Raw genomic sequence first — 22,689 nt, 5'->3', positions numbered from 1 at the left:
AGGGGGACAAATGGAGTTTCCTCTGGCAGGTCCCTGAGATCCCAGGGGAGGGCAGAAGTTAAGAGTCAGTTATGCTTTCCATAGAGCTGCTTTTAACTAGACTTACGCCCTAAAGAACACGCCTAAGAAAGGGTATGTGGGGGTTTTTGAAAATATTCTTTAAGGAAGTCAGACTCTTCTGCTGCATTAATCTCAAACCCACAATTTTTAGGTTAAAAATATTGCTTTCTGGCTGGGCGCGATGGCTCACACTGATAATCCCAGCACTTTGGGAGGCCCAGGCAGGCGGATCACCTGAGGTCAGGAGTTCCAGACCAACCTAGCCAACATGGTGAAACCCTGTCTCTACTAAAAATACAAAAATTAGCCGGGTGTGGTGGCAGGAGCCCGTAATCCCAGCTACTTGGAGGCTGAGGCAGGAGAATAGCTTGAACCCAGGAGGCTGAGGTTGCGTTGAGCCGAAATCGTACCACTGCACTCCAGCCTGGGTGACAGAGTGAGACTTTGTCTCTAAAAAAAAAAAAAAAAAAAAAAAAAGCTTTTTTTTACCTGGTACATTGGTACATTGGTACATACATTCGTCAGTTTTCATTCTGTATATGTGTGTTAGTGAGAATTAACCAGTTTAATTAATTGGGCACTATTTTCTTAACTGCCATAAGTTATTATTATTTTTAGCTATTTAATCTTGTTAATGTCAGTCCCCCTTGATTTGCCTTTTTTTTTTTGAGACAGAGTCTCGCTCTGTTGCCGAGGCTGGAGTGCAATCTTGGCTCACTGCAACCTCTGCCTCCTGGGTTCAAGCGATTCTCCTGCCTCAGCCTCCTGAGTAGCTGGGACTGCAGGTGCATGCCACCACACCCGGCTAATTTTTGTATTTTTTGCAGAGACGAGGTTTCACCATGTTGGCCAGGCTTGTGTTGAACTCCTGACCTCATGTGATCCACCCACCTTGGCCTCCCAAAGTGCTGGGATTACAGGCGTGAACCACTGTGCCCGGCCTTGATTTGCCTTTGAACTCTCTCTTTGGCATCTCTTTGGGATAGATTCCAAAATCTTTGGTGTGGGACCTGAGGCCCTTCACAGGCAGACACTAAGCCCCCTTCAGGGTGCCAGTTCAGCCCTGCTGTGTCCTGGGCCTTGCCCTGTGGTGTGCCCATTGTTGCTGGCCTCTGTCACTTCCATACACTTTATCTTGCTTGGTATACACCATTCTGTTCTTGTCCATCTGGGGAATCCGTTGGTCCTTCAAGTTCTGGCTCACAGGTTGGCCCCTCTGAAGCCTCTTGGCATCGCCTGGAATTCTGTGAGTACTTGCTGCACTTGGCCGCTGTGGCCGGGTGTGCTGCTGCTACGGGCTTACATGCCTGTCCCCACTGGCCTTCACTTTCTGTGCAGGCCAGGGACTGGAGCTGTTTAAATCCCAGCTCCAAGCACAGGCTGCGCCTATGGCAGATGCTCAGTAAACGCTGAGCTGAAGTGAATCTGTGTATTTCAGTAAGAGAAAAAAAAAAGAGCTGAGGATGCAGCCGGTGACCGGAATGTGAATTGGGCTCTATTGGTAGTGTACCCGAGGTAGATTATTTGTACTCATTGAGTCTTTATCTTACCTGTAAACTGATGAGAACAGTGTATAGTTCATTGTCAGGAAATATGCAGAGTTACAGTTGAGCTTTGTTGGAAAATTTAAAAAAGTGGAAATGAGAAAACATTTTAAGCTGTAAGATAGCATGTGTGTATAAACTAGTATTATTTGTAGGAAAATATGCCAAATAGAATGAAGTATAGGCTTCCTCAGTGGGACACTGGATTTTCAGATTGCTTCTAAAATGCTGTCCTTGACGTGAACTTTCCATGTTATCCTTTTTTTTTTTTTTTTTTTTTTTTTTTTTTGAGATGGAGTCTCACTCTGTTGCCAGGCTGGGCGTGATCTTGGCTCACTGCAACTTCTGCCTCCCGGGTTCAAGTGATTCTCCTGCCTCAGGCTCCCGAGTAGCTGGGACTACAGGAACGTACCACCACGCCCGGCTAATTTTTGTATTTTTAGTAGAGACAGGGTTTCACCATGTTGGCCAGGATGGCCTCTATCTCTTGACCTCGTGATCTACCTGTCTTGGCCTCCCACAGTGCTGGGATTACAGGCGGGAGCCACCGCGCCCGGTGGTTATCCCATGTTTTAATGCGTGCCATGTGATTGTGGTAGTCTCTAGTTGGACAAGTTGCTCAGGTTGTGGTGTTTGCAGGAAGACCTGAGGTGCTGTAACTATCAATTCATATCCCCCTAGATATTTCTCACTCCCTTCCTTATGGATTTTGTATTTTGCAGAATCAGAAATGGTTACATCTTTATTTTTAAGCAGGAGCATGTTTGGCATTGTACAAAGCACACATCATAGCAAGAAACCTGTATCACCATCTGCTGTGACAAGTTTTGAAGAGGATTCACTCTGGTTTGAATTTTATAGGCTTTCCTGTTGAGTACACCAGAGATGAATGCTCACGGTATTACACAGAGGATTAGAACTGCCCTTTCTTCTTAATGAAGGTGAATAGAAACAAGGGCTTGGATTCTGCCCCTCTGAAGAAAGCTGACCCTTATCCATTATCTGAGTCTTTGTGTAGCCTCCCAAGTTTTCTCTTCATTATGGAATATGAAAGCACAGGACTGGCTGTGGGGGATCAAGACCCAAAGTCTGATTAGACAGGAGGGATGTGGAAGGCAACAGGTGGAATTTTCTAAGATGTCAGTATCGGTGGAGAGAAAAGGCAGGTATCTTAGGTCTTGGTAGGCACAGGTCTGGGCATTAAGAGCCTTTATCAGCCTGCAGCGTGGTCAGCCGAAGGGAGGACAAAGTCAGGGACTGTAGATGCAGATAGGAGGTAGAGTTGGAGCAGGAGTGGCCCTAGGAAACAGCAGAGATTCCCGTTTTCATCCACCCCTCCCTGTGCTTCAGGAGGGTTCGCAGGAACCTGTGTGTGGCTGCAGGCTGACAGAACCTGCATGCAGTTTACTGCTGGTTAAATCAGAGATGCTGGGCTAGACCTCCTGGAAATTTTTAGTAGTATCCATCTCTCATTTTTCCCTTGGATTTTGATAATCCTGCAAAGGCAACTTTACTGGATTTATAGTGTTCTTGTCTCTGCCTTTCTTTCTGTTTTCAGCCTAGCTGAGATTTCCTTTTTATTTGTTTTTTTTTGTTTTTTTTTTTTTTTTGAGACGGAGTCTCGCTGTCGCCCAGGCTGGAGTGCAGTGGCACTATCTCAGCTCACTGCAAGCTTCGCCTCCCGGGTTCACGCCATTCTCCTGCCTCAGCCTCCCAAGTAGCTGGGACTACAGGCGCCCGCCACCACTCCCGGCTATTTTTTGTATTTTTAGTAGAGACGGGGTTTCACCGTGTTAGCTAGGATGGTCTCGATCTCCTGACCTCGTGATCTGCCCACCTCGGCCTCCCAAAGTGCTGGGATTACAGGCGTGAACCACCGCGCCCGACGAGATTTCCTTTTTAGAAAAGGACTCTTAAAACTGCCACCATCTTCTCCTGTTTACCTTCAGAAGAACTTTAACTTGTGGGGAATTCATATGGGTTTTGTGTTACGGCTGGAGCCATTAAGTAATTACCTGGGACAGAGTCACTAACAGTAGTGTAATCACAGACTCTTAAAGCCATGAGGTGCCTTAGAAGTTATCTAGTCTAGCCCTGGTCAGTTCTGCAAATGAAAGCCATTGCTGTGGCTCCTGGGAAGGACTCTGAAAACTGAGTCCAAATCAGCCAGGATTTTAAGTTTCAACAGCCACTGTTGAGTTATGCTGATCTCCTGCCTTCATATATTCCAAGTTACCTTTTTGTTTTTCTCCTGACTATGTGATGCGTTGATTCTGTAGCCCTAGGTAATACACTAGGGGAAAAATGGAGACAGAAAAGTCAAATTCTGCTTTCCTGTAGATCAGCTGGTGTGTGAGGACTTTCCCTAGCACATTCACTTCTTCCTTAAGAAGATAATTTCGTGCCGAGCGCGGTGGCTCACACCTGTAATCCCAGCACTTTGGGAGGCCGAGGCAGGCAGATCACAAGGTCAGGAGATCGAGACCTTCCTGGCTAACACGGTGAAACCCCATCTCTACTAAAAATACAAAAAATTAGCCGGGCGTGGTGGCGGGCGCCTGTAGTCCCAGCCACTCGGGTGGCTGAGGCAGGAGAACGGCGTGAACCCAGGAGGCGGAGCTTGCAGTGAGCTGAGATTGCACCACTGCACTCCAGCCTGGGCGACAGAGCGAGACTCCATCTCAAAAACAAAAAAATAATAATAATAATTTCGTAACTTGTATCATGTTCTTCCTTCCTCTACAGAGGAATCATGGAAGCTCAATTTCTGACCTAAAAAAAGATGCAGTGAATTTCTTTTTTTGAGTCAGTGACTGTTGTTTTTTTTTTGAGACGGAGTCTCGCTGTCGCCCAGGCTGGAGTGCAGTGGCGTGATCTCGGCTCACTGCAAGCTCTGCCTCCCGAGTTCACACCATTCTCCTGCCTCAGCTTCCAGAATAGCTGGGACTACAGGCACCCGCCACCATGCCCGGCTAATTTTTTTTTTTTTTTTTTTTGTATTTTTAGTAGAGATGGGGTTTCACCGTGTTAGCCAGGATGGTGTTGATCTCCTGACCTCGTGATCCGCCCATCTCAGCCTCCCAAAGTGCTGGGATTAAAGGCGTGAGACACCGCGCCCGGCCTAGTCAGTGACTATTGACGCCTTTCCTTCTGGTGTCTAAAGTCTCTTTCCCTTTGTGTTTTCTGTGAAGAATTGGGATTCTGAGTCACAGAATTCAGACGAGAGACCACATACGAAATCACAGCAGAATGGGTGTAGTTACAACAGGCACTTCATGGGCATTAAAACAGAATCCAAGGATGTTTCTTCTATAATAGAAATATTGGGCCAGTCTGAGCAAATATAAGTGGCTGGGGGCATTTCTGTATTTTCTTTGAATAAAAACTTCAACATCAAATTTTGTGTTAGTTGTGGATCCAGATATACAGATAGGCAGAAGAGGAAGAGTCCAGGCCTCCCCCACTCTCTTTCCACAGTCCTTGCTTTGAAAGGTGATTCCTGCTAGCAGTTTCAAGTGTGTCCTTCTCAGAAGCTCCCTGTGTGTTTAGCAAGCGTAGGTGTTACTTGTGAGAAGGTATTCTGTGCCATCCTGTTTCACCAGATGTGTCTTAGAGATCTTTTCATGTTAGCATTTACAAATCACCTCATTCTTTTAAATTACCAAGTAGTTTTTAGGTAGTTTAAAATTTTTGGAATTTGGGGAGCATATCCACTCTTAAGTGGAATTTAAGAATCAAATTCATAAGTTTGATTCAAATCAAATCAAAAGGTGTGTGCTCTTTATGTTTTGCTAGTGCCAAAAGGTTGTACCAGTTTACACTCTCCCAGCAGCACGGGAGACTGCCTGTGTAGCCCACTCCCCTGACAGTATTTCGTCTCATCTGGCATTCTGATTCCTGCCAGACTAATGGAAAATGGTATGTTATTCATGTTTTAATTTGCATTAAACACATAGTGACTGTGAGCATCTTCTTCTGTGTGACCATTTGTATTTCTCTTTTTGTAATCTGTCTTTTATATCCTTTGCTCATTGTATTCATCTTTGCTTTACTAATTTTTATGCTGCTTTCTTTGTGACTTAAATAAATTAACCCTAGCCAGGTGTGGCACATACTTATAGTCCCAGCTATTCTGGAGGCTGAGGTGGGAGTATCGCTTGAGGCCAGGAGTTTGAGGCTGCAGTGAGCTATGATCACACCACTGCACTCCAGCCTGGGTACAGAGTGAGACCCTCTCTCTAAAAATAATAAGTTAATTAATTTAAAAAAAGATATTAACCCTTTGTCATATGTTTTGTGAATTTATTGTCCTAGTTGTTTACCTTTTAGCTTATGGGATATTATTTTTCACTCAGAAGCTTTTCATTTTCATGTCGCAAATGAGCAGACTCACCAATATTATGACTATACTAATTCATGCTCTATTCTAGAATTATTCAGGTTTTATTTTACATTAACATCTTTGATTAAGCTAGAATTCATTTCAGCTTAGTTTTATCCCAAATGGCTAGCTGGCTATTTATTTGCTCAGCACCCTTGACTGAATAATCCTATTTTTCTTTACCGATTCAAAGTGCTACGTGTGTGTTTCAGTATTTCTTGAGTTTGTTTTCTGGTCTTTTTCTTCCGTTGCAGTTTCAATTACCAAAGCCTCACGTGCTTTAATCTCAGGTAGCTACACCCTCACGTTACCCTTTCTCCCTTTCATATTTTTCTGACTATTGTCATATATATTTTTTCCCATGTGAAGTTTAATATCCTTTTTATTATATTTCTGTAAACATCATGTTGGTAATGTAAATAATTTTTTTTTTTTTGAGATGGAGTTTCGCTCTCATTACCCAGGCTGGAGTGCAATGGCGTGGTCTTGGCTCACTGCAACCTCTGCCTCCCTGGTTCAAGTGATTCTCTTGTAATACCAGCCTCCCAAGTAGCAGGGATTACAGGCATGTGCCACCACACCTGGCTAATTTTGTATTTTTAGTAGAGATGGGGTTTCACCATGTTGGTCAGGCTGGTCTCAAACTCCTGACCTCAAGTGATCCACCCACCTCGGCCCCCAAAAGTGCTGGAATTACAGGAGTGAGCCACTGCACCCGGCGTAAATAATGTTTTTAAACATCGTGGTGTATGTACGAGAACTTTGATTACTGGGGTCTTTCTACCTTTGCTCAGGTCCCCTTTGTTTTCCATGTTTCTTTTTCCTGTCTAGATGAGAGGCTGGCCCTGCTGCAGGAACCAGCCTGGCTTGGGGAGGATTTACCAGTGTTTGGGGTAGAATAGAGTTTGTCCAGAGAAACTGACTATATCGTGCCACCTAGAGGTGGGCATCCATTTGTCGTGGAGGGAGGCCATAGGACACCTGCATGATATCAGGGACTCACTGCCCTCTCATGGGTCAGCACCTCTTCAGCTAGTTCTGGAGTGGGTGTGCTGCCCTGGATCTCAAAGGTGCAGAGCTTGGCCTGCCTTCTGCTCCTCCTCACTGCTCTCCTTGGCTGCCCCTGCCATAGGTCTCGTCTTTCTTCCTCCTACAGTTCTGCCCCCTGCATGGGCAGGAGATAGGGGACGGTCCAAGAGCAGCCTCATGAGAGCAGCCAAGACAGAGAAGAAGAAGCCTGCCCTCCTAACACACTGAGTTGGCACCAGAAGGATGCACTCGCCAGGAGGCTTGGGTCGGCCGTGCCTGCTCCAGCCTTGCCCTGCTGGTAGGTGGAGGCAGGGGGCCAGTATCCTGGACCTTCCCGCGACTTGGAAGGCTGGTGCCCTAGTCAGCTCCTTCTTACACCTCTCCCAAACTTTTGCAAACCCGGACTCGGGGCAACTCTGGTAAGGGTGATGTCTGGAACAGGGAGCCAGTTTGTTTCTATTTTGAGGTGCAGGTAGAAATGACCTTCCTTTCAAGAGATCTTCAAGGACTTCTCAGAGCAGGAACAGATGCCAGTTTTTGCTTCTTTGAAGAAGATTTTATGCTCCTAGCATTTACTAAAGAATAATGAGGCATTTTTAAGTGTAAGGAGTGGAATAGAATTTAAAGAAAAAAGTAAAAAAAACCCCAGGCCTCTGTTTTCATGGGACACAGAAGGAGGGGAGATTGAGAATGCTGACTCGCCTAAAAGCTTTATGCTTATCATGTCTGTGGTGCTTGGAGCCTGTGGCCCAGGTGATTTGGGGTTTGGGGACGCCTCATGGGCAGAGAGGACCTTTGAGCAGCATTGTGAATTCGTGGGTTTGGGATGCTGATGAAACTGCGAGATTTGAATGTATTCCTTGTGCCTCATTTTCCGCTTTAGAAATAAAATGATTGATGCACATTGCCCTTGCACGCTTGTCAGAGGGTCACTTTCTGGTTGCACCTGTCCTTGAGCCTGAGAGAGAGAACTGGAAAGAGGATGGGAAGTCAGTAGTGGTTTGGGGAATTAGTGCTGGATAAGGATGGTAGTTGAAGGTGTGAGTTGGAGTAGGGCAAAAAACCACTTATTTCTTTGCTACCGCTTCTGAACAGGAGTGCAGACCGCGGTGCAGTGAAGACTACGCAAAGCTTCCAGTCCCTTTTCTTTCTCATGGCGCCTGGCTGCCGCTTCTTGCTCTTCCAGAAGAGCTTCTTTATCTCTCGCCCAACTCAACAGCAGAATAGAATCCACCTGTCTCGGTGTCAAATTCAAAGGCACCACAGTCTGCCTGGAGCTTGCTCTTCCAGACTCTGTCCCTTGTGTTGCCCTTTCCACCTCTGCCTGGACTGCCCTCTCCCAGGCTCTCGCGTGGAACCGTCTTGGACTAACCTGGGCCCTGCTCTTCTCTGAGCCCCACTCCGCATAGCACCTTGCAGACAGCATTTATTTGGCATTTACGGGCTGCCTGTTTCTTTTTTCTTTAAAAGGAATAGTAACACATGAGCTCTTGGAGGGCCGAAACCATGTCTTTTCAGCATTGTGTCTTCCACAGTAACTGACAGGGGGCCTCTTCCACAGTAACTGACAGGGGGCCTCGTTTCCATGCAGTGAACTTTTTAAAAGATTGTTGAGGCCGGGCGCGGTGGCTCACGCCTGTAATCCTAGCACTTTGGGAGGCTGAGGCGGGCAGATCACAAGGTCAGGAGATCGAGACCATCCTGGCTAATGGTGAAAACCTGTCTCTACTAAAAATACAAAAAAATTAGCCAGGCGTGGTAGCGGGTGCCTGTAGTCCCAGCTGCTAGGGTGGCTGAGGCAGGAGAATGGCGTGAACCTGGGAGACAGAGCTTGCAGTGAGCCGAGATCGCGCCACTGCACTCCAGCCTGGGTGACAGAGCAAGACACCGTCTCAAAAAAAAAAAAAAAAAAAGACTGTTGAATTATGAGTCTGAGAAATTATTTTTTAAAACGTTCATGTTTTCTGTTGGTCCTGAGATTCCTATTCTGTGGCCAGTCGTTTCCTGTGATTCTCTCTGATGGATGTGGTTTCATAAGCTTGATTGTGTGGTATATATTGTGGCATCTGTTTTGTTCAGATATGAGGAGGGCCACACTGTAGACTTCTTGGTTGCAGCTTTTCTTGTAACTTCTTTGTCCACTGACATCCTTTTCTCATGTTGTCTGTGCCTAGAATTAACTGAAAGTGCAGGTTTTTGCCACCTGCAGTCTCTGGCCTGGGTCAAGCTAAAGCCTTTGCCTAGGTTCACACACCACAGGTAAACCCCGGCTGTGATCCACTCTGTCGGCGTAGTGGAAGCTGGCCATGTTAAAGAGAGAGTCATAGTGAGCCTTGCACATGATGACTGAGTCTTCTGTAGAGAGTCACGGGTCAGAACTCACCTGCTGGGCTCTTTCAATCCCTGAAGAGAGTGTGTATGTGTATATGTGTATTTGTGTAAAAACCAGTGATGTCACCTCAAAATAAGACAGCCCTTAGGACTATGAAAAGTGCTATGAGAATATTTACAGTACAAGATATTACTGAAAAGCAAGAGCTTAATCTCACATGAAATCCCTGGGAAACATGGTGGTAGATAACCAGCGTGGATAGTCCAGGCTGTCTTCACTGAGTTTGTTTGTATCACGTAATTTATCACCTGGTTATTTACCAAGTGATAAAGAAGGTCATCAGGTGATGGTTAATATGGGTAAACTGAGCAGGGAGCATGGCTGGAGGAATCTGAGTTCTCCCTGTAGGAGGTAAGACTCGACGGATGGCGGATGGTGAGGATGAGCTTCTGAACAAGAAGAAAGAAGCAAAGAGATGTAACTGAGTACTCTGGTGGATCCCGGGAAAGTGGAATCTTCCTTGGACTGGGAGGAGAGGTGGGATGGCTTACTAGACAGTGAGAAGGAGGAAGACAGGGGCCCAGGGACGTGTTGCACTGGGACTCTCAATATACATTTTGTAGAATGTAGAATTTTAGAATTTGTTTTTCATGGACTTAGTATGATTCTTTTAAATAAGTACTACTCTCTTGACACTAAAAGAAAATTGTTCACACTATGGCTGTTTCTTGAAAGACAAGATACAACGCAGAGCCAGGGTATTTGGGTCAGGCCTGGTGGCACTGCCTGGTGATGAGGACGTCTGTTTGCATTCCCCAGCCAGCCCAACCCCCATGGCATGGCAGTGGAGGCAGGGCTTGCAGAGGGGCGGGTGCCTTCCATGACTGATTTCCTAACGGCAGGAGACTGGAAAGGAGGGAGGGTATGGGAGTGTTTTTAGGATTTCCACCCCCTCTTCCATTGTTTATCTAGAGCAATGGTTCTTAACCAGGACAGTTTTGTCCCGCAGGGGACATTCAGCAATGCCTGGAGACATTTTTGGTTGTCAAACCTGGTTGTGGGGAATTGGGATGGGGATGCTGCTGGCACCTAGTGGGTAGAGGCCAGGGACGCAGCTAAGCACCCTGCAAGGCACAGGGAAGCCCCCACCACAAAGAGTGACCTGCTCCCTGTGCCAGTAATGCCCAGACTGAAGAACCCTGCTCTAGCACGGTGATTTCCCTTTTACTTTCTCTCCTTGGTTATTTTAGAATTGTTTAAAAAATATCTCCTCCCTTCTTAGTCAAAAGCTGTGTGTGGTCTGCAGTAACCCTGTATTCTGTGTCACTTAGGGGCCTGGGTCTCTGGAGTTCATGCTTTTGGGACTGGGGTCCCAAATCTGCGTGTTTAACAGGCGCCCTTGGTGATTCTCGTGCCCTCTGAGGTTTGAGAGCTGCTATCCTCAGGCTGTAGCCATATTTCTTGTCACCAGCCATCTTGTATTATCATCCCCAAGGTTCGCTTGCCTAACATTCCAACCTGATAATAGGCAGGTGTCCTCAAAGGCGATGCCACAGCCTCTGGTGAAGAAATAACCATTGGTGGCTGCGAGTGTACTGAGTAGGAGGCGAGTCCTTCTTGGTGAAAAGGCTGGAGTGTCCCTCGTGGAAGTGGAGGGCATGGGATCCCTGGAGGAAGGGAGCAAAGGATACTCCTCCTGAAGCCCCTCCAGGACGGTGTTGGAGCAGTCTGGTCAGTGCCACTTTGCCTGCTGACCTGATGCGGGGCAGTGGAAAGGACTAGGCTTGTGCCTTTGGGGTGACAGAACATCCACCCCCTAGATCCAGTCTCTTGTTTATCCATGCAGAAAGGAGAGGGCATCTGGAGTAAGGTTGGCATTCTTGCAGTGAAAGCAGGCATTAGGCTTTTGCTTCTGAGGGAGAGAGGAAAGCAAGTGCAGCCTGTGCGCAAATGCTGGTGGTGCCTCCCCTCCCCCCCGGGAGGCCGGGAATGGGGGATAGTAGGAGGGGCTGGCTGTGACTGCATTCATGGAAATGAGCCTGGAGGAGCGGAGCAGCACACACTCGGAGCGTCTGCTAGGGCTGCAGCTCTGCGCGTCCATCTCTGCGCTCTGCGCCAGCCTTCCCCACCGGGCCCAGCGAGTTTCCACCTGCAGGGCCGGTGCTCTCAGCTTTTGTTTTCTCTGGACACCTTCTTCTCTACCCCTGCTGTGCTGGCGCACACATGCTGTCCTTGCTCCGGCTCTCCCTGCACCTACAGCTGTGGGAGCTCCCGGCAGCCTGGTACTGTGGGGTCGCTGCACGGAGCCACCATGGCCTCTGACGTGGAGAGCTGTGACCTGCCGAGGCTTTGATGTTGCTGCCCAGGGCTGGCCAGGACACTGGGGCCGCAGGAGAGGGGACTCACCGTGGGTAAGAGGCTGGTGGATGGCGTGTGGAGCCCTGTCAGCAGATTTCCCATTATGCGTTGCTGCCTGCCTGCCTCTCCCACCCAGCAGCCAGCAGTAGGAGCTGATGTGTGCGTGGCTGTCTCTCTGCATGTCTGTCCTTTGGGTCTGCATTCTATGCTCTCCTCTGAAGGTTTTTCCACTACACTTTTGGATAGGTATCCAGGCATTCAGTGTCGTTTCTTCTAAGCCTGAGACTTAGGAACATGCCAGTAGTCAATTTCCTTGGTCCAGCTTCCGTGAGGTTTGAAATAGGGGGGCAGAAAACAGCGGGACAGATTCAGGGTGATCTCCCCTCTAGGCCTGCCACCCGTGGAGTTTCTGTTTTACTCGGTAAGGACTTGGGAACCTTTCCTGGGCACGAGTAGTCCTCTTTCCATCAATACACATAGAAAAGGAGTTGGAATTGTACGTCGCGTTTAATGCTAGGGGTCCTTTCCAGCTGTCAGACTGAGGGAGAATATTTCAATGTACAGAAAAATTCAGAGCATTACAAAGGGCTAGCAAACAAACAGATCTGAGCCACTGAGGGTAAAGTGAGAGAGAATTGACTTCCAAGCCACCAAGCCTCTCTTTTGGACACGGAAGGGGTGTCGTGGCCCAGCTGTGCAAGCTGACAGTGGTTGCAGCTGGCAGGCACGGGGAGTGGCAGCTTCACCCAGGGGACAGGAGCCTGCCCCCTTGGGAGGAGGGGCGAGCAAGCTGTTTTGGCTTGTTTGGAGGAAGAGGGAACTCCAGGCTTTCCCTGGGAGTGAAGGAGCAGGCCACTTGGCTCAAGGAGGCTAGGGCTAGAAAATGGTTCTTCCCTGTGGAGCTCTGCGCCCAGTCCCTGGGATCCTTTCGAAACAGCAGTGGAGTGCTAGAAAGAAGCTGCTGGGAAACCCCAGCTATGTCAGCTATATCAGGTGTTGTCACTGTGAGCTTTTAGAAAAAGTTAAGGTTCTTAAAATGGTTGTTTTCTAGTTTTTAGCTTTTATTGAAAGCGGATGTTAACTTTATTTTTCTAAACCAAATTCGCAGGATAAAATTTTGTCACTTAGGTTCTGTTACTACCTTGAAATGCAAGCTAAGTCTTTGAGTTCTAGGATTTATTAAATTAAATTTTTTGATACCTTACTTTTTTGTTTTGTGAGATGGAGTTTTGCTCTTGTTGCCCAGGCTGGAGTGCAATGGCGCGATCTCGGCTCGCTGCACCCTCCGCCTCCCAGGTTCAAGCGATTCTCCTGCCTCAGCCTCCCAAGTAGCTGGGATTACAGATACCTGCTATCATGCCTGGCTAATTTTGTATATTTTTGGTAGAGATGGGGTTTTTCACCGTGTTGGTCAGGCTGGTCTCGAACTCCTTACCTCAAGTGATCCACGAGCCTCGGCCTTCCAAAGTGCTGGGATTACAGGCGTGAGCCACTGCGCCCAGCCAATACCTTCCTTTTATAAGATAGTTGAGAAGGGCTGGGTGACATCCTCATTACATAAGTGAGGAAACTGAGGCTGGAAGAGGTGATTGTTTGCTCCAGGTCACAAAGTAGTGAGTGAAAGCCCAGGCAGCATCGCCTGTGAACGTGAGGAGCTGTCAGATGAGACGGCTCCAACACTGAGAAGAGGACCGAAGTCTTCCCTGAAAATGCAGAATGCAGTAATAAAAGCCTTTAATAGATTTACTGTTAGTGGGGAAACTGGGTAGTTTTTGCATGGAAGAAATTTAAATTAGAATAGTCTAAATATTCATATTGGCAATTTGCCGGAAGGCACCTCTGCCTCTATGTTGAATACCATTTCTGCTAGCTGCCTGCTAATTTAACTCTTTTTGGTCCTGGGTAGTGTGTGTAAATTTTTTTATTTTTATTTTTTGAGACGGAGTCTTGCTCTGTCGCCCGAGCTGGAGTGCAATGGCCCGATCTCGGCTCACTGCAACCTCTGTCTCCCAAATTCAAGCGATTTTCTTGCCCCAGCCTCCCAAGTAGCTGGGACTACAGCTGCATGCCACCACGCCTGGCTAATTTTTGTATTTTTAGTAGAGACAGGGTTTCACCACGTTGGCCAGGCTGGTCTTGAACACCTGACCTCAGGTGATCCACCTGCCTCGGCCCCCCAAAGTGCTGGGATTACAAGGCGTGAGCCACCACACCCAGTTGTAAATTCTTTTAACAAATCTCTTAGGCTGCAAATTGGTGGTGAGATACTTATTTTAAAATGCACTACGCAAAAGTCAAATCATAGTTTCTTGGGAAAGGAACTAAGGTAAGCAGACAGAGAAGTTAGAATATGCTGTGAAATTTTTGTTTATTTTATATTTTTATTTTTTTGAGAGAGGGTCTTTCTCTGTCGCCCAGGCTGGATGCAGTGGTGCAACCTGGGCTCACTGCAACCTCCACATTCCAGGGCTTACGCGGTCCTCGCACCTCAGCCTCCTAAGTAGCTGGGACTACAAGTGCGTGCCACCACATGTGGCTAACTTTTGTATTTTTTGTAGAGATGAGGTTTTGCCATGTCACCCAGGCTGGTCTCAAACTCCTGAGCTCAAGCCATCTCCCTCCCTCAGCCTCTCAAAGTGCTGGGGATGGCTGGGTGCGATGGCTCACGCCTGTAATTCCAGCACTTTGGGAGGCTGAAGCAGGCTGATCACCTGAGGTCAGGAGTTTGAGACCAGCCTGGCCAACATGGTGAAACCCCGTCTCTACTAAAAATACAAAAATTAGCTGGGCGTGGTGGCAGGCACCTGTAGTCCTATCTATTGGGGAGGCTGAGGCAGGAGAATTGCATGAACCCAGGAGGCAGAGGTTGCAGTGAGCTGAGGTTGCGGCAGTGCACTCCAGCCTGGGTGACAGAGCAAGACTCCATCTCAAAAACAAACAAATAAAAAAACAAATCAAAGTGCCGGGGGTATTATAGGCATGAGCCACCATGCCAGGCCTTTATTTTTAATGGTGGTAAAATACATATAACAAAAAATGTACCATCTTCAGCCTGTTAAGTTCAGTAGTACATTCATACGTTCATATTATTGTGCAATCCAGTCTCTAGAACTTTTTCATCTTGCAAAACTGAAACCCGCCATTAAACCTTCATTCTCCCACTCCCCCTCTCCCCAGCCCCTGGCAACATCCATCCCACTGTCTGTCTCTATGGTAGTTTGACTACTCCAGGGGCCTCTTATCAGTGGAATCCTTCAGTATTTGCCCTTTTGCAACTGGCTTAATGTCCTCCAGGTTCATCCGTGTTGTAGCATACATCAGAATTTCCTTCCTTTTTAAGGTACTAAGTTTGAAAAGTATTACTGTGTTTCTGACTCAGTGAGTGGGAAACTTAATTGGTTTCCCAAAGTAGATAGACTGTGTGAAGGTGTGAACTCTTCAGTGTATTATTGGCAGAAAGTGTCACCTGGGCCTCCTGCTCTAGTCACACCCCTTTGCTACATCCATCTTTCTTCATCCTCTGATCCTAACATTTATCCTGAGGACTGTCTCAAAATTTCAGGCTTCCAGTAAAATCCTGGTATCATTACAACTGTTTGCTTTACATCTCTCTTCCGTTACATTTTACCTGAAAGATACACTGGATTTTGGTTGCATTCTTATCCCTGCCTTAAAGATCTGACCCCACATATTTGTAATGTCAGCATGGAGTTTTGTGAAAGTTGAAAATTACTTTTCTCAGTGAGGGGAAAAAAGTTCCCCTAAACCAAGCCATTCTCCACTTGCAGTAATGATCTGTAAGAACTTTATCTTTGACTCCTCGACTGTTTTTTTTTCTTGTTTGCTGCCTTACCTGCAGTTGTTAGCCATGCCTCACAGCACTGCCTTCTTATCCTATAGTTTTTAACTTACCAGATTTTGTATTATTGTGGGTCATTTGTATGTTCCCCAAGTGATATAAAAGCTGTAGTCATTTTAAACAGTACTCTGCTCAGGAAGCAACCTCTTAGCTTACTGTTTGCTTTGAGGCACAGATAGCCGAAGTAACTTGCCCAGGGTCATCCAGCTGGTGAGTGTGGCCCCAAGCTAGGCTTAGGACCCAAGACCACTCCCTGTAGAGTGGCAGTCCCCGGATCCGTCCCAGAAGTTGGGTGAGGCACCCATGCTGTGGATTCATACAGCCTTGTGCATGATCCCTCGTTAACATGCACACCTGAAGTCATCACCTTCTCAGTGGATGCTTCCAGGGACTGCTGCTCCTGCCGGAAGGAACCAGATCTGTCTCTTCAGTGTTGTACCCCCGCTGCCTTCCACCTAGTAGGCAAGCAGTAAATGCAGGCTGAATGCGTCAATGATGACATTGTTAGAAAGAAGCAAAAGAGGAAGATGAATTGGGTATGCAGATAAAGGAAAGACATTTGGCATTTGTTGGGCACCTATTTGTGCTCACAGCTTTATCTTTTCCATCACGCATTCCTCACAACAGTGCTAATAACTGCAGTGCCATTTTACAGCTGGACAAAACTGAGGCCCAGAGAGATTAGCAGTTTGTTGAACATTGGTATGTCTCCAAAGCCTGAGTTGTTTCCAGTATTTTGAAGTTTTTCAAATTATAAGTCACTGGGATTTTCTGGGAGACAAAGTGACTTACACCCATAGGGTAGTGCAGAGGGAGGTGAACACGCTGGTTTGTTTAAGGTCTGACTAGTAGGATTGACACAGGTATGTGGCGAGTAAGTGCTGAATACTGGAACCAGTGCTCAGGATATTTGGAGTTTCTTAGCCCTCACGCCATGATCACTGTATCTTTGGAGGTTGGAGGAACAAGATGGTTTCCCAGATGCGCGCTTTTGAGCCCAAAGCCTGGTTTGTAAATAGCCAGTTGTTCTCCTCTGAGCAGGTGGTAGTTTCTGTAGAGGCTGTAGAAAAGCTGGGTGCTTTATTTCATTACTGCCACTGCTGTTTTAGGCAGAGCTTAAGGTTAAGAGAGAAGGAGCGTGTGTGTGTGTGTGTGTGTGTGTGTGTGTGTGTGTGTGTGTGTGTGTGTATTCAGTGTTTATGAAACTTCCAGGTCTGTAAAGGGGTGTGGCCGTGATTAGCAGGAGGGCACCCGTTGGCAGCAGGCCAGCTGGAGGGGATGAAAAGGAAATGGCAATGACCTCCTTGGCCTGGGAGCAACTCTGACTAAGGTAGTTACCTTTTGTATATTTACCTTCTCCGCAAATGAGGGCTCACTCCTTAATTACTTTATAAAATGTTTCCCCGCATTGTTGGTTTAAATATGGACCTTTTTATCCATTGAAAGGCAGAGGCTGTAAGAAGGATGCTGGTTAATCATTATAGTGGAAAAAAATAAGGCAAGTGATGTATTTGAAAGCTAGGCAGAGGGGTCTGGTGCCAGCTGGATGACCTCAAAGAGACATCCTGGTCCTAAAGCATGCCTTGGACACGTTCATTTGACGGTACCCACGGGGATTTAGGACAGTGTGGTCCTGGCAGCTGCTATGTGTCTGCCAAGCAGAACCTGCTGTCAGAGAGCTGCGTTTTCCGTGGAACTTTATGGCATATCCCCGGGCATCTGCCTGTGGCCGGTGGAGCGCGGGTTGCAGGATTTTAGACTAGAGCCCGCCGTGTGCTCATGTATCGTCCTCTGGCTTGGAAAGAGGGCTCTGTCCCTTTAAGACAGTCCTCCTTTGTATGCCACTGGCTGGAACCCATTTCAGCTCTGGGTTTCTGCCGACTGTTAAAATCTGCAAAGCAACATTTAAATAAATAAATAAATGAAAGCTTCCCTTGTGTGGCTTTCCTATTCACAGCCAAGCACAATAGCGCCTTGTTGTTTTTGTCACTTTAATCCTCTTCATTAAATTGGAACCCTGGAAAGGAATGGTGATGGGGCTGATGCTGGACCGTCCCCCTGACTGCCAGCCGGACACCTTGCAGATTAACCTTTGTGGGCATGGATTCCGGGTGCCCCTCTGGCAATGGGCGAGGAGGGCGAGCGACCGGGTGGTGTGTCAGGGCGGCTCCCCCTCTGGTTTGTCTCCATTGTGCTCAGGCTGCCGGCAGGGACAACCTGCTGCCCTCCCCAGTGGCCATTCTTTTAAAGAGCAAGGGGTTCAGCCGCCTCCCTGGCACACCGCCTCCCTGGCACATAAGCATGGCTGCAGCACGTGGCAGTGGGGGAGGGAGGAGCTGTTTGTTGTGCTGCCATCTGGCCCATCTGAGCCGTTCTTTTGCAGTTTAACCCTAATGGCTACACAGGAGAGAAGCGGCATGAATAGACGGGTTTCCCAGGGTGCGGACGGTGCTTTCCCAGAAACTCCCGGGCTGTGAGGTAGACATGGGTATTTCTGACCACCACCTTTCTTGTTCCAGCTGTGGCCTTCGCAGTGTCCTGAAGACACTAGCCAAGACTGTAGGAATCAATCACACCTCAGCTCTCCAGCAATAGTGTTGATTCTTCATGCTGCTAAATGAAATTAAGCATTTTGTTTTTGGATGTTTTTTCTGTCCGGGGCAGCATGAGAATGAAGGCTTGAATTAAAGATTTGATGTTGCATTGTTAAGTTTATGCAGAGGAAAATACTTATTAAAATATTAGATTTTGCCTCATCTCAGAATAAAATTCCACTAGAAAAATGAGGTGTAGTTCAGCTTTTTAAAATAAAGTTCTTGAATGATTGGTTGAGCCAGAAGGGGAGCAGCATTATGATTTAAAGTTAGTAAGTATGGAATGGAGAAGTAATTTAGCAGTCATGTGGCAAATGTCAGGAGATTGGATCAAAATAAATGTAGATAAATGTCTTATTTATTCTAGCTACAAATTGGCCAGAAGCGTTTTCTGTCTGACTCCAAGGACACAGAAGGGCTATCTTTTCTAGTGACCATAGTTGTACATTTTTAGTCTTTTGTTTTCAAATTGTCATAGTACATATATATATGTATTTTAAAGCAAGTATTCAGGGGCTTATATGTCCTGTCTCTCTATTCCCAGACCCACTCCCCAAAGCAGCCACTATTAATTCACTTTTTTCTGCTTTTAGGTCTTCTAGTGGGTGCTGCCAAGTTCTTAAATTGGTGATTATTTTGTCAAGATCAAAGGTTATCTCCTGCCTTCTGCCTATGATGGATGAGGATGCAGCTCACACCATTCTCTTCCTTCCTTCTCTCACTGTCCATTTTTGGTAGTTGATCACAATTTTCAGTTCCTGGATTTTTACCTTTGGCATATTTACAGCGTGGGTTTCTTGTTCATGATCCTTATCCATGCCTCTGGTCTCTAGTGTTGTAGGAGGAAGCTGTGGGGACCATTTGGGACCCTGCTGCCCTCTCCACTTTGCTTCCCTCAAACTTTGGTCAGCTCTTCCTTCACCTTGGTAACAGATAGCTTTGCTTCTCCAGCCTGGGTTGGTCTTTCATGCTTTGTCTACAGGGTGATTCTGTAAGTTAACTACCAGCGACCAGCACCATGACAGGAATGTAGATACCACTCACCGTAGAGCCAGGTGCCCACTCAAAGGGAGCTGTTCCTGGCGTCCCTGATGGCCCAGAGGACACCACTCGGGGGGCATGTTTCATTTCTTCTGTGATTTCCTGTAGTTGAGTTTTTCCTGTTGCCCAGTCCTTTTTATTCTCTTGAGAGGAAACCGAATGATGCCTGTTGGTATCACACAGTTTTCTCAGCTGCTTTCTCCTTCATTCTCTGGTTTCGAGTCTGATTTCATTCTTTCTGATGGCATTCCTCTGGCAGCCCTTTGGCTTCCTGCTCTGACCCGGTCTGGTGGCTGTTGGCCATCACAGTTGATGGCGCTTGCTGTCCTCAGGCTCCTGAGTCAGTCCCGTTCCTTGATCCACATCTTGCTCCTGAAGTAGCTTCTTCAGAAGGGGTGCACAGAAGACAAACTTTCTGATCCTTATGTATCTGAAATGAGTCTGTTTTACCCTCCTACTTGACTGAGAATTTGGGGTTCAGATAATTTTCATTTAGAATTTTGAAAGTTCCACTGCGCTATCTTTAGTGTGCGGGCTCTTATACTGACACCAGCGAGATCTTCCCTCGTGGGTGGTCTGATTAATCACTCTCCTTAACCTCTGTGGAGGTTTTAGGATCGTCTTTATTCCTGGAACTTCTGAATTTTTCCTATGAGAATTTCTCTGTGGGATTTAAAAATATTTTTATTCAACCGAGTTTATTTTTTTGCTTATATTTCCAGGTTTGCTTATATTTTCAAACCTCTTTGTTCTACAGGAATGCCCCAACTTTATCTTTTAATCCTTCGTTGACTTTTTTGATGTGGGGGACAAAAGTATGTTTAATTTGCAAGGCCGTATTCTTTTTCTGTAATTGTCCCTTTTCCAGAGTTTTCTGTTCTTTTAAAGGTTTTTTTTTTCTTTCTTTTTTCCCCCTAATTATCTCTGTTTGCTCTAGGGTGAGTTTTCTGTTCCCTGTCTTGTCCTTTCTCACTCCTGGCATAGGTGTGGTTATCTCTGTAAGTGTAAGAGTGAAGCAGTAGACATGTTAAGCGGAAGCTCTGTGCATGGCTGGGCCTTGTGGGCAGGGAGGCTTGGCTTCAGGGCGAGTGAGCCAGAGCCTGCTTGGGGTAGGGTTCTCTTAGGTGTCCGCTGTCTACATATGGAGGCTTTACCCTGGACACCAGCTCCACACTTGTCTGCTCATGAGAAAGTTGGCTTCGTTCATGTGTGTGTGTTTGTGTGTGTGTGTGAAATCCTTAGTGTGCTAGGCCCTGTGCTGAGTACCACAAACACAACAGTGTACAAGGCATACGGTGTCCCTGCCTTTGTGGAGTTTTTATTCTAGAAGATATTAGCACTTAGCACTGTTTCTTTCCTTTCTCTGTTCTGGAAATTTGTTGAAATCTCTTCTGATGGCCCTTCTCTGTGTACTCTTTGATATTGTAGGTTTATGGATGTTTTTGTTCCTTTACTATTTTTTTTAAATTTTTAAATTTTTTTGAGATGGAGGCCTGCTCTGTTGCCCAGGCTGGAGTGCAACGTTGCCATCTTGGCTCACTGCAACCTCCACCTCTGGGGTTCAAGCGATTCTCTTGTCTCAGCCTCCCAAGTAGCTGGGATTACAGGTGTGCACCGCTACGCCCAGCTAATTTTTGTATTTTTAGTAGAGACGGGGTTTCACCTTGTTGGTCAAACGGGTCTTGAACTCCTGGCCTCACGTGATCCACCCTTCTCAGCCTCCCAAAGTGCTAGGATTACAGGCGTGGACCACCGCGCCTGGCCTATTCCTTTACTATTTAAAAAATAATATCTTGGAAGATAGAGGACTAGAAGGGCATTTTGAATTTATAATACAGAAGCTAGATTGTGTCCATCCAGAAAAATTGTCATGTGTGAATATTAAACCCAGAATGGTTGAGTGCTCAGATTCTGAAAAGAAAGCAACGATTTAGAGTTTCCAGTTTAGAATGATACAAGTTGGCTTCTCAGGGTATATAGCAGTCTTGAGATAGGGATTTCTTTTATACGATTGCTCTGTTTTTCATCAGCTTCATTATATGGACCTTGGATTTAGTCTTGCTTCTGCTGGGTAGATTGTGTCCATCCAGAAAAATTGTCATGTGTGAATATTAAACCCAGAATGGTTGAGTGCTCAGATTCTGAAAAGAAAGCAACGATTTAGAGTTTCCAGTTTAGAATGATACAAGTTGGCTTCTCAGGGTATATAGCAGTCTTGAGATAGGAATTTCTTTTATACGATTGCTCTGTTTTTCATCAGCTTCATTATATGGACCTTGGATTTAGTCTTGCTTCTGCTGGGTAGAGATACATTGATGATCTGATTAAGCCAGTTCTGTAGCTTCAAAATCAAATCCCAATTATTGAGCCTCTTGCGGAGCAGCTGTTTTTAAAAAATGAATGTTGCCTTAATTTCAAAACCATGTTATATTGGAATGAATATGTATCTTCTAGAACCTGAAGAAATTAATTTCTTAAAGGGGTCTTCTACTTGGACTAGAAATTTTTCTGGGCTGTGAAGCACAGAAAAATCAGAGTGAACTGCTTTAAACATGCGTTTCTGTAGAACGGTGTACGCATCAGTAGAGTTGATGTTGTTTTTCAAAACGGCTTTTGCTTTAACCAGAGCTCACTTATTTGTCTGACTTTTTCCTGAAGCAGCCATTTTAATATATATATATATATTTTTTAATGTTGGGAGAACTGTTCAGCCTGGGAAGAAACATTTGGGGTGGTGGGTTTGGCGGGGGTGCAGGGTTAGAATCCACATAATGCTGATGGATTGCTGAGCTGGAGTCCTGGGTCTTGACACAGGAATGGGACTGGAGAGCAGGTGTGTAGGTGAACTTATTTAAGGCTCCGTCCTCCAATACACACACCTGAGTGATCACCCTTGAGTTCTCAGGGACGCAGTTTAAGGCCCACTCTTGTGAAGGTGACCTGGGTTGGATTTAGTTGGTCTGTTGGGATCTTTAGAGTGGCTGTCTCTTCCAGCCTCTAAAGGAAGAGTGTTTTTCAAACCACAGGACTCAGTATATTAGGTAATTATACGATTACCTAATTGATTATGAAATAATTATTTTTTATTTTTTATATTATTATTATTATTATTTTTGAGACAGAGTTGTGCTCTTGTTGCCTAGGCTGGAGTGCAGTGGCACGATCTCAGCCCACTGCAACCTTCACCTCCCAACTTCAAGCGATTCTTCTGCCTCAGCCTCCTGAGTAGCTGGGATTACAGGCACCTGCCACCATGCCTGGCTAATTTTTTTTGTATTTTTAGTAGAGACGGGGTTTCACCATGTTGGCCAGGCTGGTCTTGAACTCCTGACTTCAGGTGATCTACTCACCTCGGCCTCCCAAAGTGCTGAGATTACAGGTGTGAGCCACCGCATGCAGCCATAAAATCAGTTTACTGGACTAAACCACTGTTAAGAAAGCTCACAGTGAAATAACAGACATGGTGAGATATTATTTTTGATACTTTTATG

General features: G+C 46.3%; 1 protein-coding gene across 20 annotated transcripts in view, besides 7 other annotated features; it reads left to right on the top strand.

The window, feature by feature from the left end:
* The window catches only part of CYTH1 (cytohesin 1), a 108,226-nt gene that overhangs the window by 47,304 nt on the left and 38,233 nt on the right, over positions 1-22,689 (top strand). For 3 of the 20 annotated variants that reach the window (NM_001365041.3, NM_001394678.1, NM_001292018.4), the window contains exon 1: positions 11,404-11,757. The exons of 8 other annotated variants lie outside the window; for them this stretch is intronic. Coding sequence is in view for 4 of the 12 variants with exons in the window: in XM_047437076.1 (XP_047293032.1) it covers positions 7,258-7,312 (55 nt within the window). In the remaining 8 variants the exon portion in view is untranslated. Of the gene's footprint in view, positions 1-4,709; positions 5,523-7,141; positions 7,313-11,403; positions 11,758-16,874; positions 16,894-17,934; positions 18,042-22,642; positions 22,662-22,689 lie in introns of those variants that run through there. 9 more of the 20 variants (NM_001394676.1, NM_001292019.4, XM_047437080.1 and 6 more) reach the window with 5 other exon arrangements.
* Positions 1,084-1,143: an enhancer, noted in NCBI's record as "active region_12906". NCBI's record gives its function as "activates an Ori minimal core promoter by ATAC-STARR-seq in GM12878 lymphoblastoid cells {active_cell/tissue: GM12878}" and the evidence as "EXISTENCE:reporter gene assay evidence [ECO:0000049][PMID:35858748]".
* Positions 3,908-3,987: a silencer, noted in NCBI's record as "silent region_9070". NCBI's record gives its function as "represses an Ori minimal core promoter by ATAC-STARR-seq in GM12878 lymphoblastoid cells {active_cell/tissue: GM12878}" and the evidence as "EXISTENCE:reporter gene assay evidence [ECO:0000049][PMID:35858748]".
* Positions 9,053-9,132: an enhancer, noted in NCBI's record as "active region_12905". NCBI's record gives its function as "activates an Ori minimal core promoter by ATAC-STARR-seq in GM12878 lymphoblastoid cells {active_cell/tissue: GM12878}" and the evidence as "EXISTENCE:reporter gene assay evidence [ECO:0000049][PMID:35858748]".
* Positions 9,503-9,552: an enhancer, noted in NCBI's record as "active region_12904". NCBI's record gives its function as "activates an Ori minimal core promoter by ATAC-STARR-seq in GM12878 lymphoblastoid cells {active_cell/tissue: GM12878}" and the evidence as "EXISTENCE:reporter gene assay evidence [ECO:0000049][PMID:35858748]".
* Positions 10,880-11,385: an enhancer, noted in NCBI's record as "H3K27ac-H3K4me1 hESC enhancer chr17:76719667-76720172 (GRCh37/hg19 assembly coordinates)". NCBI's record gives its function as "activates a minimal SCP1, AML or CMV promoter by ChIP-STARR-seq in primed H9 embryonic stem cells {active_cell/tissue: H9 hESC(primed)}" and the evidence as "EXISTENCE:reporter gene assay evidence [ECO:0000049][PMID:30033119]".
* Positions 12,440-12,709: an enhancer, noted in NCBI's record as "active region_12903". NCBI's record gives its function as "activates an Ori minimal core promoter by ATAC-STARR-seq in GM12878 lymphoblastoid cells {active_cell/tissue: GM12878}" and the evidence as "EXISTENCE:reporter gene assay evidence [ECO:0000049][PMID:35858748]".
* Positions 20,134-20,193: an enhancer, noted in NCBI's record as "active region_12902". NCBI's record gives its function as "activates an Ori minimal core promoter by ATAC-STARR-seq in GM12878 lymphoblastoid cells {active_cell/tissue: GM12878}" and the evidence as "EXISTENCE:reporter gene assay evidence [ECO:0000049][PMID:35858748]".

This window comes from Homo sapiens, chromosome 17 (genome assembly GCF_000001405.40).
Source record: "Homo sapiens chromosome 17, GRCh38.p14 Primary Assembly".
NCBI classification, from domain to species: Eukaryota; Metazoa; Chordata; class Mammalia; order Primates; family Hominidae; genus Homo; species Homo sapiens.
The sequence above is the reverse complement of the archived record's forward strand: the minus strand, read 5'-3'. Positions and strand labels throughout refer to the sequence as shown.